Raw genomic sequence first — 19,455 nt, forward strand, 5'->3', positions numbered from 1 at the left:
TTTTAAAGTGTGAAGTGGTGTGCACAGGTTCATTGTCTAGGTGTGTACTCATGAAAACAAATCTCTTGTGTTGCAGATAGCGCTCGTTAAGGTTGATTTCTGCATATCAGTGAGAGTTCAATGATCTTACATTCAACATAAATATGACAACTTTACAAACATCCCCCCTTTCGTCCACTGAGTGAGTTTATCAGGAAAACCCAACAAAATCCTTCCAGGCCTCCCCGGGGGAAGGTACACAGTCCCCTGCTCTGGAGGAGGACATGGAGGCTCACGCTGGTTAAGGGAGTTTTCCAAAGTCACCAGCAGCAGGGAATCTTCTGAAACTGCTGACAAGTCCGTGCTTTTCCCACGTCCACTTACATTATTTAGGCAAGACCCACTTGGGAAGCTATTTCTTCAAGGCATGATGGGGACTAGGTTCAGGATGGTAGAGCAGGGCTGTTTTTGAAAGGCGGTCTCTTTCTCTTTGCACCAAGCTTTCCGTAAGTGTGTGGGTGACCCTCCCAACTTCCTCCTCTCTCCCACAACCACCGCCCTCGCTGCTTCTCTCAGCTTCTCTCCCCGACACCTGGATGACTCCTCTTGGCTACCTGGGGGCTGGCATTGTGGGAGGCAGCCGACGCCAGTGGGTGCTGCTGGGATCCCTGCCCACACCCAGCAGTTGCCTGGAGATGGAGGTATGCCAGGTATGTGGGCCAACAGCTGCAGAGTTGCCACTGACAGGCCGGAGGAGGATTCTTTGTCAGTGACCGCACCAGCCCGAGCCCCTGCCAGCTGTCCCACTCAGTATGCCCTGGCTTCCAGGGCCCCAGCCAAGGAAGGGTGTGGACATGTGATACAGTGGTGGCCACAAGGCAGGGGTCAAGGGGAAGGCAGGCCGATACTAGCAACAGAGGAAATGACACTTCAGAAGCGTCCTCCCTTACAAACAACAGCAACTGTGTGTGTCCCAGTGAGTATGGGAAGCTCAGTCTCCTAACATCATTCAAGGGTCTCCAAGTGACTGTGCATACAGTTTTAAAAATATCACCGAACTTGTTTTTCTTACCCCAGCCATTTTTTATAACTATATCTAGGGAATGGGTTGGTTGACTCTAAAGAGCAAGGAACTAAAGAAAAGATAAACATGGAAACTTCAGGTTTTCCAGAATCTTGCATATTTCCCTCCTGTTTCCCTATTATAATTTACATTTAAAATGGAGAGATATGCAGTTTAAGCCAAATGTTTTGAATCATGAAAACAAGTGAAACTCTTTTGCCTGTTCATGATAAACCTTCGGATTTGGTGACTTCTTTCCACCAAGGCAAGATAGGTTTCACTCGGGGGAACTGAACTGGTGTGGTGTTTTCTGCCTTCAGCCATCTGTGTGTACACTGTGACAATATGGTTCTGTGCTGGATGAGACGCCTACTATTTTTTCATTTCACTAAAGAGCCTCAAGTTGCTCAGCTACAACCTGGAGGAAGTGTTTGAAAGCTGATTTTCTGATGCCCAGCCCCAGGCCTCCTTTTCCACCGCACAACATCAGACCTGCTTTTCTCTAAATCAGAATTAGGCACGCCAATCCAGATGAAAGAGCCCTGTCGTTGAAATGCCTTTCTTTGGCCCACACTAAGTATAATTTCTGCTCCCATTTGAACTCAACATTTATATTTTAACAGCTGCTGCTCTCTAAGCAAACTGATTCACATAGAAAATCCAGGATTGTGATTACTTATTTTTTCCTCTCTACACACGAAACAGATTCCCTGGAAACACAGTTATCTTAAGTAGCTGGAATTGTCTAACTTCGGTTACTTTATTATTTACAAATCAGCCAGGTGAGAACAAGAAACTGAAAAGCAGGAAACAAGATAGGCAGAGAAACAAAGGTCTTGATGGGAAGAGCAGCAGGATGCCTGAGCAGGCCCACCGGGTTCTCAGGGCTGCAGCAAAAATCAAAGAACAGTCGTGGTCTCGGGACTCGCCATAGATCAGACCACAGCTTCCAACCATGCCACAGGCTGTCTGTGTGTTCCCTGCACACCGTTCATTTTTTTCCTTCTATTTTAACGATCTGAAACCAAGTTTGGGCCATGTGTAGACAGGCCGTTCGGAGGAGGCTTCGGGAAGGAGGGTGCATCTGAGACTAGTTGTAAAAGAGGAGGAGGATTTCCACAATCGCTCAAAGGAAAGGGGCATTTCAGAAAGAGAGAAGAGCACGTTCACGTGAGCCCAGGTAGGAGCACGGGGCACACGCATGAAACTTCCTGATGCTGGAGTTCATGCGCACGGTGGACGCAAGCTTGGCAGCCCGCAAGGCAGAAGGGGAGATGGTGCAGGAACAGTGGCTGCTCCAGGAAACTTGAGCTCCATTCTGCAGGCTCAAGGAGAGATGAAGTAAGAGGAAGGACTCCTTGGGTGCATTGTTCATGGGAGGACAAATTAGAAAGAGGGTTATCTCATGGCAGGCAGCCACTTCCAAGTAGGGAAGTTGGAGAACTTGTTGTCAGGTGGAAGAAAAGAGAAGACCCTTGAAAAGTCATCCAGGAACGGGTGTGCACACACATGGAGTGTGTCCCTCATGCCGTAATTCCGATCCAGGTCCTTGACTTAACTGCATTGCCATTAAGCTTGTGAAAGGAGGGGAAAGCCAGTACCAGACATTGGTTATATGTCCAATATCTGTTTGACTCTTTGTTGGAGGTATTACCTAAGTTATTTTACAATACTTTAAAAGCAATTCTACAAAGCCCATTGCTATTTTATAGAAATGAAATCTGAAAATGAAGAGGGTCAAGTAAACTAAGAAGTCTACGCATAACTAAGAAGTGGGGCTGCCTGACCCCAATCCTGCACTCTTGGCTCTTTATGACTTCACTTGTGAGCATACTGAACTCAAAGTGTTCTGGACGTCTCCAGGTAGAGGGCTCTAGGAGGCAGCTGAGTACGTGAGCCTGGAACTTAGGAGAGTTCCAAGCAGGGCTGTGGGTGTGGGATGGGGTGCATGGGAAGGAGGTTGTCAAAGCAAAGCAATGCGCAGCTGCTTAGGGAGGGGGCACAGGAGAGTGGCCTGGCCCTTCTTAGATCATTGTCAACTCAACTTGTCTAAATGGCTTTTATGACCTCAGTTATCACCTGTATTAATTCTGGCCTATGGTATTTTGCAGCTCTTCGGGAAATAGTGATCCTTTGTTTCTGACAAAGTTCTTCTTAAAGGGTTTATTGTCTTATTTACTAGGAATCATGGGGAATAGAGTGTTACACAATGTAATTTTTTCCCTAACAAATAAAGCTTATTTTTATAAATTCCAAGGCTTTTAATTTGAATCATGCTTAACTATTTTTCTATATTTTATTACATTGTTTGCTTCCTCCCTAAAGACAGTATATTTTAGTATTTTCACAGAAAAATGAGAAGCCCTCATTATGAACATACCTGATTAAATTGAGCATTTCCAAGTGATGTCCACATCACTGCTCAAGTGTTATGAGGTCACAGGATGAACTACTGCCCCCTGAATGTTGCTAGAATGCTGTGCCTTTATTTATTTCATTGGACAACTCATTCAACATATATTTATCAAGTGACTCCTATAAGAGTAACTAAAATAGAATTTCCTGCTTTTGTAGACCTTACACTATAGTTGATTCCATAGTGTCTAGTGTTTCATGAAATTATACAAAATTTCACTAAATCTAAAATACCATTGGTAATGACATACACTTTTTAATGCACTAATATTAAATAATGCTGAAATTAAGTTATGCTTATCTAATGTAAGATACATTGCAATTTCAGATACTAAAATCTGAACAAGTAGACAAACGTTTCTCTTGAAATCACTGAAATCTATATCCAAATCCCTTAGAAGAGGGTTAGCACATAGTATTCCAGGAAAGCAAAGCTCTAATTATTATTGTTGGATTGTACCCAGATTATGTTACTATTTAAGTTTCTACTTTATGTAAAGCACTTTTTCATATGGATATTCTTTATCCTAACAATAGTCCATTTGTTACACCAGAAGTAACACCAGATACTTCTGAATAATAATGGCAGTTAAATCTGTGGTTTTGTGGAATTTTGCTTATATACGTCACTGTTGATTCAAACAATATAGCAGCTCTAAGAACATCTGTGCCTCCAGCCTCTGCATTTCAACCATGAGAGCATCATTTCTCTCCATGATGCTTAAATTAAAAATCTAAATATTTGGTAAATTTTACGCTTTTCTAGATTATGTTTTATTAATATTATATTCTAGTAAAAAAATAATGTTCTTAGCCTGAGAAAGATTTTACAGAAAAGCTTTAGTAAACATTATACTTCATAATGTACCTGTACTACACTAAATGTATAATGTACTTATACTAAAGAGTGAACTATATTATCTTTGAATTTAGGAATAAGATGAGTAAATATGTAAATGTAATAATGAGAAACTATTAAAATGCAGTAGTTTCAATATGATTATTTAAATAGAAAATCCAAAAATTTGTACATGAATTAAATTAATAAACAAATTCAATGAATTTACTAGATACAAAATTCATTGTCCAAAGGAATTGTATTTCTTTACACCAGCAATAATGTTAAAAATAATAATTTATAAAATTAACTTCATATTTCATGAAAAGTATAAAATTTAAGAATAAATTTTAAAATAGTGTACGAAGTCTTTATATACAATAATATAAAACTTTTGTACAATAATAACATCAAAATGAGGGGTGATATGTATTATGTTCATAGGCTAAATGTCTCACTTTTATAATAATGTTAATTCTCCTCAAACATATTTATATTATGCTTGAGTTTGACAAAATTATATAGGTTTGACAAAATTCCAATAAATTCCCAATACATTTTGTGGAACTTATAAACTATACAATAAAGGCCAAAACAGTCCTTAAGAAAAACAAGTTGAGAAGACTTGACATATCATGAATGATTTGAAATTTACAAATTTCAGAATTTTTCCCATTGTAATATAAGCATGTAATAGTATCACATTTCCCCAAATGGCTACTTTAAGTGCATCCTACAAATTGTGATATATTCTGTTTTTGTTTTCATCTTCGTTCTCTTTGAAATACTTTCTAAGTTCATCTGTGACTTCCTCCTTGACTCAGGAATTTTTAGAAGTGTGTTGTTTCATTTCAGAACATTTGGAAATTATTTCTAGTTTCATTTAGTTGTGCTTAGAGATCATACTGTGTATGATTTCTATTCTTTTTAATGTACTGAGACATGTTTATATAGCCCAGATTATCATCAATTTTAGTGAATGTTTTAAATGTGCAGTTGATAACAATGTCTTTTATATTGCTGTTTAGTGGACTGTTTTAGAAAAGTCAGTCAGGTAAATCTGATTAAGAGTATTGCTTTTCTTCTATCCTTTTGCTGGTTTCTTATCTCATTCTATTAGTTACTGAAAAAAATGGGTTAGAATCTACAATCTCCAACAATAACGGGATATATCCCTTTCTTTTTTCTGTTGTATATTTCTTCTTTGTATATTTTAAAGCTCTATGGTTGGGCAATATTTGGTATTGTTGTGTCTTCTTGTTGAATTGACCCTTCTAACATCATGAAATGTTATGCAATTCCGGTAACATTTCTTATTGTAAAACTTACTATTTCTGTCCAAATCTATGCCCTGTCCCTTTATAAAATAATGATGATGACAAATAATACATAATATTTATTGTTTTTTTATCTCCCATTTTTAAAAATTCTGGGGGTTTAGATTATTTGAATTTATATAATTATTGATAAAACTAAAATCAAATCCACCATCTTTCTATTTGTTTTCTACTTGTTCCATCTTACTTCTTAATTTTATTTTTATTTTTTAAATTTTTATTTCATCTAGAGTTTACAATACACATCTTTAACTTATCACAGCTCTATGTAGAGTATAAAGAATGTACAGTAGGAGAAGTCAGTTTTTCTCTTCTGTCTTTGCACTAACTACCGTTATCATACATTTTACTTCAAATGCATACATTTAACATGTGCCACAAATCCTATAACACTTTATTGTTTTTGCTTTAAATAATCAATTATCTTTTAAGGAGAAAAAACAAAAAATTTTTACATAATTTTTATATATTTCTGGGACTCTTAATTTCTTTTTTTATAGATCAAATTTTCCTTCTGGTATTATGTTTCTTTTACTAAAGAAATTTTCTTTAACACTTATGTAGTACAAATGTGCTAATAATGAATTAGCTCAGTATTTGTTCTGAAAAGTCCTTTTCTTTTTGGAAGACATTTTTGCTGGTTAAAGACTTCTAGGTTGGCAAAAATGTTTTTAAGTACTTTAAAGAACAGCTCTATAGTTCCTGGCCATTTTCTTCTTACTTACATAGATTCTGATGAGGAGTCTGCAGTATTCTTGTTTGTATGTAGTGGGTTTTCCCCCTCATGAGCTGTTCTGCCCCTCTCTCTCAGTTCTCTTCTTCTGGCACTCCAATTACATATACATTCAACTCCTTGACGCTTTCCCAAGTGCAGTGCTGGAGACTGAAGATTTAACTGCAGTGAGCTTGGACTGTGAGGATTGAAGCAGAGCCAAAAACTGACAGACAGTTAGTAATCATTGCAGATGTTTGCTGAACAATTGCAAGGTAGCAGGCACTATTCTACTTTTCACCTGTATAATTCTGACTTATCCTCAAGATTTATCTTGAAATTTTCCAGAAAGCCTTCCTATACCATCCTTTCTCACCCTAACCTCTACCTCACCTCTCACACTAGGTTAGGTAGCCCTCTTTTTTAGTTTTACTGCACACTGGGTTTCCAGTGTTTTTAAATCTACTACTCTTTATTCTATTAGATCTTTTTATTTTTAATCTCCATGGCTAGGCTGTGAATTCCATGAGAGCAAAGACTATGACTATTGTCTTGTGTCATAGTCAAATGACCTCTCCTTTGCCCAGGGTGTGTTACATTCTCAATGTGTATTTCATGAAAGAATGGATGAATAAATGGTGTCTCCCACTAGACTGTGAGTTCCTCAGAGGCAGAAATTACACTTTTCCCATGTTTTCGTGACCGTGGTTCAATATATATGATTGATGAAAAAGAGCGTTTCAGCAATTACAGTTTTTGTTTGTTCGGTTTTTGTTTTTTGTTGTTTTGAGACAGGGTCTCGCTCTGTCTCCCAGGCTGGAGTGTAGTGGCACTATCTCAGCTCACTGCAACCTCTGCCTCCAGGATTCAAGCGATTCTTGTGTCTCAGCCTCTCAAGTAGCTGGGATTACAGACGCAAGCCACCATGCCTGGCTAATTTTTGTATTTTCAGTAGAGATGGGGTTTCGCCATGTTGGCCAGGCTGGTCTCTGACTCCTGACCTCAAGTGATCTGCCCGCCTTGGTCTCCCAAAGTTCTGGGATTACACTAAACTCATGGGAGGCAGAGAAGCAACAGCTAACAGAAGTGGGGAGGAGGCACTGTAACAATTACATTGAGGGCCATCTTTGTTTAACATCAGAAGATTACAGGATAAAATTATTTGTCATGTAGTGAGCCAGGGGTAGAAATCCTGTTTTAAAACTGATTTTCCGTGGCTTCAGCAAATCATAGAATTGTCAGAGCAATTACCCAAAGCTCCAGTGGAAAGGAAGAGTCAGTCTTGTTTGCATACTTGCCTGGCCTAGATCTTTTCATGATCTTTCTGCCACCATGTTGCTGAAGAAATCTTCACTCCCTTTGCCTGTGTGTGTTTGGGATGGAATTACTGAAATCATTCCTGAATTCTGCTTACGTGAAATGTTACTCCATGTGGTTTTAATTCCATGAAGATATTTCCTCCAGTGTATGTGAGTTATATAGGTTGGGAATAACTAGAAAAAGAGATGACTGGGTTAGAAACAGGAAAGAAAAGGAAATAAAATACAACAAAACAAAGCACAAAGCAGGCAGAACAGGCAGAGGTCCTGCAAAAGGGCTTTGGGCAATGGAGGGGAGTGCTGAGAGCCAGACGATGCCTGGACATGCATTAGAGGAGGTGAGTGCAGGTCTTTGGGGAATCTTCCTCTGTCCTTATAGTCACACTGTCCATCAAAGGTGGCAGACAGGCCAGGCACAGTGGCTCACGCCTGTAATCCCAGCACTTTGGGAGCCCAAGGCAGGCGGATCACCTGAGGTCAGTAGTTCGAGACCAGCCTGGCCAACATGGTGAAACCATGTCTCCACTAAAAATACAAAAATTAGCCAGGCATGGTGGTGCACGTCTGTAATCCCAGGTACTCGGGAGGCTGAGGTATGAGAATTGCTTGAACCCAAGAGCTGGAAGTTGCAGTAAGCTGAGATAGCGCCACTGCACTCCAGCCTGCGGGATAGAGTGAGACTCTGTCTCCAAAAAAAAAAAAAAAGTGGGGGACAGACAGACCTTCACTCCATCAACTCAACCAGGAATCTTGTGGAGAAACCCCCTAAGAAGAAAAAAAAAAAAGCAAAGGAACATGTCTCTCAGTGGGTGTATTACCCACGAGGAACGAAAATGAATGTACGAGAGTCTGGTTGGAACAGACAGAAGGGGAGATCCTGAGAAGATTCTTCCAGCAAAAGATATTAACAGGAAATGGGCTTCAGAGAGCCCAGTACATGAAGATGTGCAAAATGCCTTGTATAGCCTTTTTTAGTTTGCCTTTATTGCTGTATTGTAATAGATATTAAAATAGATATTTATGAATGTCTTCAGGGTGAGTCACAGCTCTTGTTTCCCAGCCCTCCCTTTCTCAAGTCTTCCATTCCTCCATTGCAAGTTTTCCAGCACAGATATTTTCAGAAGCTGGATTCCTGTATTGGGGAAGTTGTTCTGCACTTTAATCACTGACTTGTACCTTCACAAGGGGAGAGATTGTAACTCGGGGAGCTAATGTAAAGAGAAGCTGTACCATTCAACATATGTATGTGAATGTTGTCATTTTTACTTTACATGCATTTATTTGCTTACAGAAAATTGCATAGTGCAGCAAATCTATAAAAAGTCAAGCTTTATTGTCAAGAAGCTTAGAGTGACCAAAGACAAAGGGAGACCCATAATATGCTCATTACTGCTTACACTTTTAACTCGAGCTAATCATATTCTTATGTTCGCCACATGTACACATTAAAGAAAATGTCAGTAATTACTGAAGAATTTAACATAATGAATCCATGTAAAAACAAGGTTTTAATTACAGCATTTACACAGGTTACAAACTCTAACGTGCCTTTGTATAAGAGACAATCAGATCCATACATTTTGTTTTCTAAGCCATTTTGGGGAGAAAAAAAAACAGCCCTTGGTATTTGAGTCATGCGAATACTCTGGGGTTCCAAGATAGTACTCTGGCATTTTTCAACAAGGTCTTTTTCCTCACTATGGAGAAAGTGTCAGTCTCACAGTTCACAGTGTGTAGTCACATCACTGAGAAATGTGCATGCATCTGACCTCACACTGGGATACTTCTCCCTGTGTGACCAGTTCCAAAGACCTCTTCTCAGTTTAGTTCCAGGACAAGCTGAAGTGAAATGTTGACTTTCAGTTTCATCAACTGCTGATGTTGACCACACTCCAACGATGGAAAGAATTTGAGGTCATCAGCAGTTACTGGGCCATGGAGCCTATTTTCCTCAGTAATCCAAGAGAATCAAACCCTCAGTATGGACCAAGAAGCAATATGGACTTATCTGATCTACAAGATGAAAAGTATTCAAAATTGGCTTTAAAAAATGGTCAATTTGGTTCTGGAAATAAATTGTGAGAATTTCTATATCTATTTCTGTTATCTTAAAAAGTAGGCAAATATCTAAGTGTTACTAATATTGAACATGTAGACTGATTCTGGACTCCCCACTCAGGCTGCATGTCAGAGATTTGCATAGCAAGTGAAGTCACTGGTTTCCTGAGAAATGTGGGCCCTGCAGAGGGCAGAGGAGTTCCCACAGCCCCACTCACAGGATCTCTTGCAGCTATTGTTAAATGGCACAGTCATCTTAACCATGGCAAGTGAATTCAAGGATTAAATTGTCTACTTTTGACTAAACTAACTTCACAAAAGGTTAAGTGGGTTAAAAAATTTCCTACAAAGAAATACCAAATTTAGATAATATGATAATTCAAGAACAATAAAATATCAGAGCTACATTTCTTCAATTAGTTGTATATACTCTTGTCAACCACGTAGCAAAGTTTAAAACAATGGCAAGGAGTCAGCCAAAAATTCTACATTATCATCAGGAAAGCATTTTGAAACATAGGTTATATCCATTGTCATCAATGTCAACTCACTCTAAGTGCATATTCTAACTCAAGATTTGAAGTTGATGATAGTATTCAGGAAACACGTACGATTTGATTACTCATGCTCAAAGCCATGTGATATTGAACCAGCCACTTCACAAAATTTAATTAAACTTAATGATGAAAATTAAAAGTCTCTCTGAAAGATCTTATCAAAGAGCAAAAGACAAAAGCCACTTACTATTGGGGGAAATGTGTTCCTTATAATATGCAAGCTTATTTTCCCATCATTTTGATCAAAACAGAAGAAAAAATATATGAAAACATATAATAACAAGCTTAATAAATAAAACATGCAAAAATATGGTGTGTTACTAATTTTAACATGAATTTCTATGTATTTACAGTTATCTGAAACAAATATAAAATAGTTTGGATCCTTGTGATCGGTCACAAACTTAGAAAGCCTGCCCTTTGCATGCAGCAAACTTTTAAAATTTTTGCATATAACAAACTTTTAACTGATTAAAGTAATGCCACTCTAGTTATTTATGAAATACATCAAAAAGGCCGGGCATAGTGGCTCACACCTGTAATCCCAGCACTTTGGAAGGCCGAAGCGGGCAGATCATGAGGTCAGGAAATGGAGACCATCCTGGCTAACATGGTGAAACCCAGTCTCTACTAAAAAATACAAAAAATTATCTAGGCGTGGTGGTGGGCACCTGTAGTCCCAGCTACTCGGGAGGCTGAGGCAGGAGAATGGCGTGAACCCAGGAGGTGGAGCTTGCAGTGAATTGAGATCATGCCTCTGCACTCCAGCTTGGGCAACAGAGCAAGACTCCATCTCAGAAAAAAAAAAAAAGAAAAAGAAATACATCACAAAGTAGATGGTATTTTATTTGGATTGATAGATTTATCATTTATAAATGCTTTTTTTCTGTAGTATTCATTTTGTCCATAAAGCACAAAGATGCTAAATCATATACAAATTCTTCCAGGTACTTGTCTAAGTGCATTGATTTTTGTTTTCTAACTATGTAGAAAGTTAAATTCATCAGTTGCTTTTCCAGACGGACCCATTTCAGGTCTCTTGACTACCATCACCTATGTGAGCAGAAGGATTCAGGGGATCCTTGGTGGACTGCTGAAGAATGAAGCATGTGCACCCACTTTACTTCTACACTTTGGCAGCTGTAGAACAGAGACAATGGTGGTGCATGATACATCCTTGTATCTGGGAATTAATTCCTTTCCGAGGTGTATACTACTTAGCTTTGTGACTAAAATCTACAGGCTTCAGTTTCCTAGTCTTGCTAAATGGGAAACATGTTAATATCTATGATTGTAGCACATCACAAGTAAAGATAAATGAGAAAATATATGCTTTGGCTGGGCATGGTGGCTCACACCTCTAATCCTAGCACTTTGGGAGGCCGAGGCAGGTAGATCGTGAGGCCAAGAGATTGTGACCATTCTGGCCAACATGGTGAAACCCTGTCTCTACTGAAAGTACAAAAATTAGCTGGGTGTGGGGGCGGGTGCCTATAGTCCCAGCTACTTGGGAGGCTGAGGCAGGAGACTCACTTGAACCTGGGAGCCGGAGGTTGCAGTGAGCCAAGATCACGCCACTGCACTGCAGCCTGGCGACAGAGTGTCACTTCGTCTCAAAAAAAGAAACCAAAAAAAAAAAAAAAACCAAACAAAAAAAAAACAACAACAAAAAAAGGACAATGTACGCTTTGTAAACTTTAAGTCTGGGAGATGGCTAACATTATGGGGGAAGACTTGGCCAAGACAGCCCAGAAACCACAAGGTGAATAATAGCACCCAGAACAGAAGGTCCACCATGAAGATAAGGACTTAATCTATCAGGAAGGATTAAATGTAACCGTCAAGAGTAGGCTTGATGGAGGAGGGTGAATCTGAATGGAGCCTTGAGCTACAGTGGGGTTTACAGCACAGGCAAATCCTGGTGACTGCATGCTAGATGAAAGGAATTGGACAAATGAAATAACTGAGGCAAGAGAGGTTGGGCATGTTCAAATTCGTATCTGTATTGCATAGATAGCTTAAGAATGAAGTAGAGCCAGAAAAAACATACTAGGCTCAGATTACGGAACATGTTTAATGCTAGGCTAAGAACTGTGTTCTATTATATATGCAAAGAGGATCCATGATTGCTTTTTGAGCAGAAAAATCACCCAACTTAATGTGATGTTTTAGGAAGATACTTGGGTAGCAATGTGGAAGAGGCACTGAAGCAAGCAGATTGAAGGCAGATGCTACGTATAAGACCATAAAGCTTTTGCACTGGATTTGATCAGTTGCAATGAAGGCTTGAGTTTGGATGGTGGTCTTGGGAAAGTTCAAAAAAAAAAAGGAGAGGAGGGGTCATAACTGAAAGCCATTTTATCATGACTAAGAAGTCAAACATGTTAATAACCTCAAGAGATATTGGAAGAAGCAGAAAATATTCCTCTTTTGTGCATCCATACTTTTATTAAGAAAAGCTTAACGGAGCTTGAGATATTTATAGAAAAGGCCAGTACCATGAGGAAGGAGATGTGTTCCTAGAACACATTTAAAATGATGTGTTCTTTAATTTTAAAATATGATGGAAGATAGTTTTCGAATTTTGTGTCGCAGTTTTTGCAAAGTTACTGAAGTTTCCAAATTCTAAAACCACATGGTAGTCTGCCAGCTACACATGGAGCAAATAACCTGCCCTGATGCTCCCCACTTGTAATCCAGCCAGCCAGCCCTGTCTCTCCATTCCCAAGGCTGTGTTCACAGACAGCATTGACCAAAACCAGCCAGTTCCCCCCAAGCCCCTGCTGCACAGTATCTGACAGATATCAGCGATGGCTTATCTTCACTTGTCTTTCAACCCCTCTTTATTCTCTACCCCACTTTATGCACCCCAAAACTGCCAATATCTCTATAAATAGCATGACTCTGGCTTTCCTGGGCTTGAACTTCCATGTGGATTTGGCTGACGGAGATCAATGTAAGGTGATGGGATGCCCAGAAGACAGAGAGTTGGGAGTAATTTTCTCCCACTCCTTTTCTGCAGTGGGAACTGCAGTGATGGCAACAGTATTCTCTCCACGAAAACACTCCCTGCCTCCTGCTATGGTTTCAATATTTGTGTCCCTCCAAAATTCATGTTGAAACTTCATCCTCAGTGTGACAGGATTAAGATGTGAGGCCTTGAGGAGGTGATTATATACCCTTATAACAGCACTCTAGGGGACTAGCTAGATCCTGTTTGCTTTTATATTCCTTCTGCAATGTGAGGACACAGCAAGAGTCGCCATCTGGGAAGCAGAAAGCAACCCTCTCCAGCCCCCAGATCTGCTGGCACCTTGATCTTGGACCCACAACTGTGAGAAATATGTTTTTTTCAATAGACTACGTAGCCTCCATGTCCATGTTCTGTTAATGCAGAACAAACAGATTAAGACATCCCACAGTTCGGGCATTGACCAGTGCTCTCTTTGCCCACCTTTGCTGCTGGTAGCCTGTCTTGCAGATACCCAGTGGCTTTACAGAAGGGGAGGTGGCTTCCTGGAGGTTCTCGCACAGTACGAGCTGAGAGATGGCATGCTGCAGGCCTGGAGCACTCCTCTCCAGCAAGCAGAATGACTGTGGAGCAATGACCAATGTATGACTCTGTCTCTTGTGTGACCATGTGCTCCAGTGTTCCCAGGACATAATAATAATAATTTCTAACATAATTATTAACAACAACCACTTTCACTGTCAAAAGTGACCTGACTTAGATAACTGAATTGTAAGTTCACTCCACCTTTTCCACAAAGCCAGAATACTAGAACACACGGTCAGAAAACAAAAGGGTGAAATTGGGTATGACCTCCCTCAGTCTTACACTGATGGGATCTGTATTTTTCATTCTTAACTCCTTATACTCAGTGTGTTGTGAAGTCCTAGGGCCAAGGGAAGAATTTTGCATCAAGAAACATAGTCCTGGTTTCATTCAATGATAACCTGAGACTGTTCTATAATCATGTTGGGCTTTTCATGTTATGAGATAGAGAATTCCTATTTTGAACTGGCATTTTACAGTGCCCAAAGGATGTTGGAGTGTTTGTATACAATGGGAGCAAAGAAGATTACATCTAGAACATGGGCAATTTACTGGGGCTCCTTAATTCACTAGTGTCCAAAGATAATGGTTAGTGGGAAACTGTAGCTGTAAAGGATTTGCAGTCTATTGGAATGAAAATTTTGGTCATACTACTAGTTTAAAATTTCTGATAGGGCAAGGTGTTGGTAGAAGGTAAAGGGAGCATTGATAGGTGATTTGAAAAAATAAAAAAGAGGAGCTGACTATCAACATAGAACATAGACCAACAGCAGAGGCAGAACCTATATCAGCTATTGTTTACTTGTGCTGATTAATGCCTTCCTTCCCTTTATCATGCTGCCTGATCTGAAGAGTACTGGTGGAACTAACATTACAACCTAGGTTCCAGGTAGGGGTATGACTGAGTTGATACCAGCCCACCACCATACAGTGGCAGGTGCCCTTTGTAAGTAAGGAGGATAGTAAATGTTATCCTCCTTACTTTACCATTGCACTGCTAAGTAGGCTTTTATTTTGCTGTGTTTGCCACCTTTAAAATTTATCCTTCGCATCGTAGTCATAACAAGTGAGGTAATTAATGAGGCTTCCTTACCTTCACTATCTTTCTTCACCTTTGACATGGTAAAGTGTATTATTTCTATGTTATTGGGGCATATGACATTTCCAGCCTATTCTGTAACCCTAATCCACATTTGGCTTCAGTCTACAGTAAAATACATTCAATACTTACAACTTTTTTTTTTGCTGTATTTTACCAAAGCATCTTCCTTTAATTGGTTGTTATTGTTTTCCTTCCTTCTGTAACCAAATGTATTGCCCTTTTTCTCCACATACCCATGTTTTTGTTCTCTCAAAAACATTAATGAAAATATATTTTCCTGAATTCTTGCTTGATAAAAACCGCAACAAATTGTAATATATCATGTCTACATAGTAAGACTAGCTTGGCTGCACATAAAAATCCTTGGTTGGCATTGAGAATCTTATTGGTCTTCCCTCATTACCATCCAGCTTCAGTACAGCTAGGGGAGCCAGGACAGCCTTCTTCATTTCTCCTGTGAGTGACTTATTCTTTTTTTCTGGCTGCCCAATAGATACCTTATTTTTTTTAAGTCCAATACCTTCATTAAGATGTGGTTCACTTTTTGCCTGTCATGAATGGATATACCTTGCTTCTGATGTGCCCTTTTGAAAGGTAGATTCAAGTCTTCATGCATTGCACAGAAGTGTTCTTTAATTATAATTTTGAAGTATTCGTTCTGTCTCTTTTGGTTTCTTCTTTGGATGTTCCAGTAATGTATGTGTTCAATCCATTTGTCTGTCTTCCATAGTTCTCATTTTCTCTGTAATACTTGAGTTTTGCTTTTCAAATGTTTGCTTAGATAATTTTTGTATAAATGGGTATCTATTTCCTTTTATTTTTGTAATATACTACTAAATGGTTTGGGTTTTCCTAGATAACTACAGAGGTTCAGAGAGAGAATTAAGACAACCTTCTGGGCCTCACACCAGAATGGCTCTTTCCAACTGGGCTGTCACAGAGACAGACTGCTTCCTGCAAGTATGGCTCCTCTGGTGATTCTCTGTGTGGTTGAATCTCCCTTGTTCCTCCCTTGAACAAAACTGGGTCCAGGAGGGGACTTTTTCTGGTAGACTGTGTACCCTGGTTCCCACTCCTGTGGTTAAAAAAAGGGGTATAAGTTTTGAACATGGAAGTGAACTCCCAAATTTTCAGGGAGTACATTTTGTTGGTGTTTTCTGAGATTATCAGCCATTGGCCTCACTACCTCCATACTTCATTTACTCCCATGTGGCTTGTGCCTGATTCCAACTAGATTTAGTCATCTCTACATACGTTTTGAAATCTTTGGATTCTAACTTTTTCTAGTTTCACTAAGGATATATTTGGTTCTTTTTTTCTCCATTTTCCTTGTTGCTTTTTTATGTGTTCTGGAATAATATGAGGAAAAATGCTGACTTTTACAGCCTGTGTATACAACTACCTCTACAGAAAATTTTAAGATATATATTAGTTCTTTATATTCACACAATAACTTTGCAAATAGTCCTAGTTTACAAAGCTTATTCCGATATCTTGCTGTGTTTTTAAACAAACATATATACATATATGCTGTGATAGTTGATGTTGAGTGTCAACCTGATTGGATTGAAGGATGCAAAGTATTGTTCCTGGGCATGTCTGTGAGGGTGTTGCCAAAGGAGATTAACATTTAAGTCAGTGGATTGGGAGAGGCAGACCCTCCTTCTATCTGGGTGGGCACCATCTAATCAGCTGTCAGCACAGCTAGAATAAAGCAGGCAGAAGAAGATGGAAGAACAGACTTGCTGAGTCTTCTGGCTTTCATCTTTCTCCTGTGCTGGAAGCATCCTGGTCTCGAACATCAGACTCCAAGTTCTTCAGCTTTTAGACTCTTGGACTTACACCAGTGATTTTTCAGGGGCTCTCGGGCCTTTGGCCACAGACTGAAGACTGCATTGTTTACTTCCCAACTTTTGAGGTTTTGGGACTTGGACTGATCCACCACTGGCTTCCTTGCTCCTCAACGTGCAGATGGCCTATCATGGGAATTTATCTTGTAATCACGTGAATTGATTCTCTTTAATAAACCCCCTTTTATATGTACATCTATTCTATCAGTTCTGTCCCTCTAGAGAACGCTGACTAATACACATATATACACATATGTGGTCATGCAGACATGTATACATGCATGCACACATATGTGAACACACGAACATGCATACACATATGTGATCTTTGCCATTGTGGATGGCTAGGATGATTTTTCTCAGGAAAGGTATCTGTGTTATTAGAAAAATAGCCCTGGTTCTCATCCTAAAGTCATAAAAATCAGGAGGTAACTCAGTGAAAGGAGACACACACACACACACACGATGTTATATGTATAAGGGATTTAATATTTTATATATATAATCAAATCCTTGAAATTGCCCTTTGTATTAATCAGAGTTCTTTATAGAAACAGAATCAAGAGTATGTGTGTGTGTGTGTGCGCGCGCGTGTGTGTGTATATATATACACATATATATTTAATACGTGTGTGTGTGTGTATATATGTATATAGACAGAGAGAGAGGGAAAGAAGGAGTGAGAGGGAGTTTATTATAAGAAATTGGCTCATGTGATTATGGGGGCTGAAAGTCTCACGATCTGCCATCTGCAGCTGGAGACCCAGGAAAGGCAGTGATGTAGTTGAGAGAACCAAAGTGTCGATGGTATAAGACCCAGTCAAGAACAGCACAGGGGGCTAATGTGTCAGCTCAAGCAGTGAGGCAGAGGGTGAAGTCACCCTTCCTGTGCTTTCTGTTCTATTCGGGTCTCAATGAATTGGATAATGCCCACTCACACGGTGGAGGGCCACCTGCTTTACTCAGTCTGCTGATTCAAACGCTAATCTCATACAGAAACAGCCTCACAGGCATAGCCAGGACCCATGTTTAGTCTGGGCACCTCATGTCTAAGTGAATTTGACACAAAAATTATCCATCATACCCAGAGTTCTTAATCAAAGTTTCAATGACTGAGGCCAGTCCTGGGCCGCTAATGTTCGTCCAATATTGCGTCTAGTTTTACCATCCCTTCCGTTTGCCAGAAATAGAAACAGAAAATGTTCTACATGTTTGCACCACCAAATAATGAATAAGCAATCAAATGCCATTTTGATTATTGACCTTCTAGCTTTTACAAAACACAAAACTTGCACAAATAAAATACTACTGGAAGCCAAGGAACCTAGAGACACATGTAATTTCTCTATATCTCTGCTCGATGCATAAAGTATTCCTATTGAAGAGTAAATTTCCTCTTGTTTCAGTGAAAGATATTTTTAACTGATATTTTTACCTTCAGCAAACACATAAACGGTGAAAGTTATCCCAAACATTGCCATTTTCAATTTCCAAAGGAGCTTATGCTAATTTCAGAGGCATCTCTATGGTTTATATGTATATTTAATATATAAGGTAGGTCCTACTATCTCCATTTTACAGAAGAAGAAACTGAAGTTGGAAAGATCAACAAGCTTACCTGAAGTCACAGGGCGGGAGAGTAAAGGAGTAGAATTTTCAACCTAAGTTTATATGATTCTAAAATTTTCCACTACCATGCTGCTAAAAGAGATTACTCAACTAGTTCTTCCTGTTCAGGTAAGTCAGTTCAGACTTTGCTAATTCTGAATAAAGAGGACAGAAGTTATGATGCTGTAACTATTTGACATAGACTGTGTTAGATTAGAGATGAGAGGCAAAAACTTGACCCTAGTATATTTGCTTTCATTGATTCCAATGTCATCTTTAGGTTTTTGTATATTTCTTTCTGATTTTAACATATGATCCTTTATTTTCTTCTTACTTTCCTCCCTTCATCCTTTCTCTGTCAAATTGTTTTCCTCTTCCTCCTCTTTTAAAAATTCTCAAAATTTGACTATAAATTGCTTTTTCTTCTTTGCTCCTTTTCACAACTCTTTCATTGCCACAAGGCATTCAGGTAGAAAAAAAGGCCAAGGTAGTCTGCAGTGTGCTAGCTATTTACCCAATTGACCCACCATATCTTTTATATAAACAAATAAATTAACAAGTTATGTAAATAATTTATATTCAAATATTCAGAAGTGTCTTAGACATGTTTAATATGCTACAGGTAAACTCCTTTTAGGAGGAGACCACATGCAGCTTTAGAATAGAAAATAGAAGAAAGGAAAAAAATAAACAAATGAAGGTTTTTCTCTGCAGTCTTTATGCAAGCAACGACTTATTTCTTAAACTCTCCCCTTTGTGGCTATCACTCAAAGAAAATAAAGAAGAAAAGCTACTGGCTTTCTAGTTTAAATCACAGTCTCATTATTCTGTAGGTGAATGGGGAGGGGGATTGGAATCGTAGGTCCGAGTGGGCAGTAACTTGAAGTCAATGGAGATATATACAAAACAGAAGCACAATCACGATCCAGCAGTTCTGGAGCTGCTAACTTTTTCTGCCTTTTTCTAAATGTCCAATAATAAGGTTCTAACGGAGACTGAAGATCCATCACCTGCTCCACATCTCCAGGGGGCCCATGTGTGCATCGCAGTGCAGGTCATAC

At 39.2% G+C, this 19,455-nt stretch overlaps 1 long non-coding RNA gene across 1 annotated transcript in view; it reads right to left on the reverse strand.

The window, feature by feature from the left end:
• Nucleotides 1–6,367: 6,367 nt before the first annotated feature.
• LINC01248 (long intergenic non-protein coding RNA 1248) overlaps nucleotides 6,368–19,455 on the reverse strand; it is a 56,978-nt gene continuing 43,890 nt past the window's right edge. The window contains exons 4-5 of the long non-coding RNA NR_110580.1: nucleotides 7,643–7,837; nucleotides 6,368–6,543 (exon numbers count right to left, since the gene is read on the reverse strand). This is a non-coding gene — a long non-coding RNA (long intergenic non-protein coding RNA 1248). The remainder of the gene's footprint in view (nucleotides 6,544–7,642; nucleotides 7,838–19,455) is intronic.

The sequence above is a fragment of the Homo sapiens genome, chromosome 2, assembly GCF_000001405.40.
Source record: "Homo sapiens chromosome 2, GRCh38.p14 Primary Assembly".
In the NCBI taxonomy this organism is placed as follows: domain Eukaryota; kingdom Metazoa; phylum Chordata; class Mammalia; order Primates; family Hominidae; genus Homo; species Homo sapiens.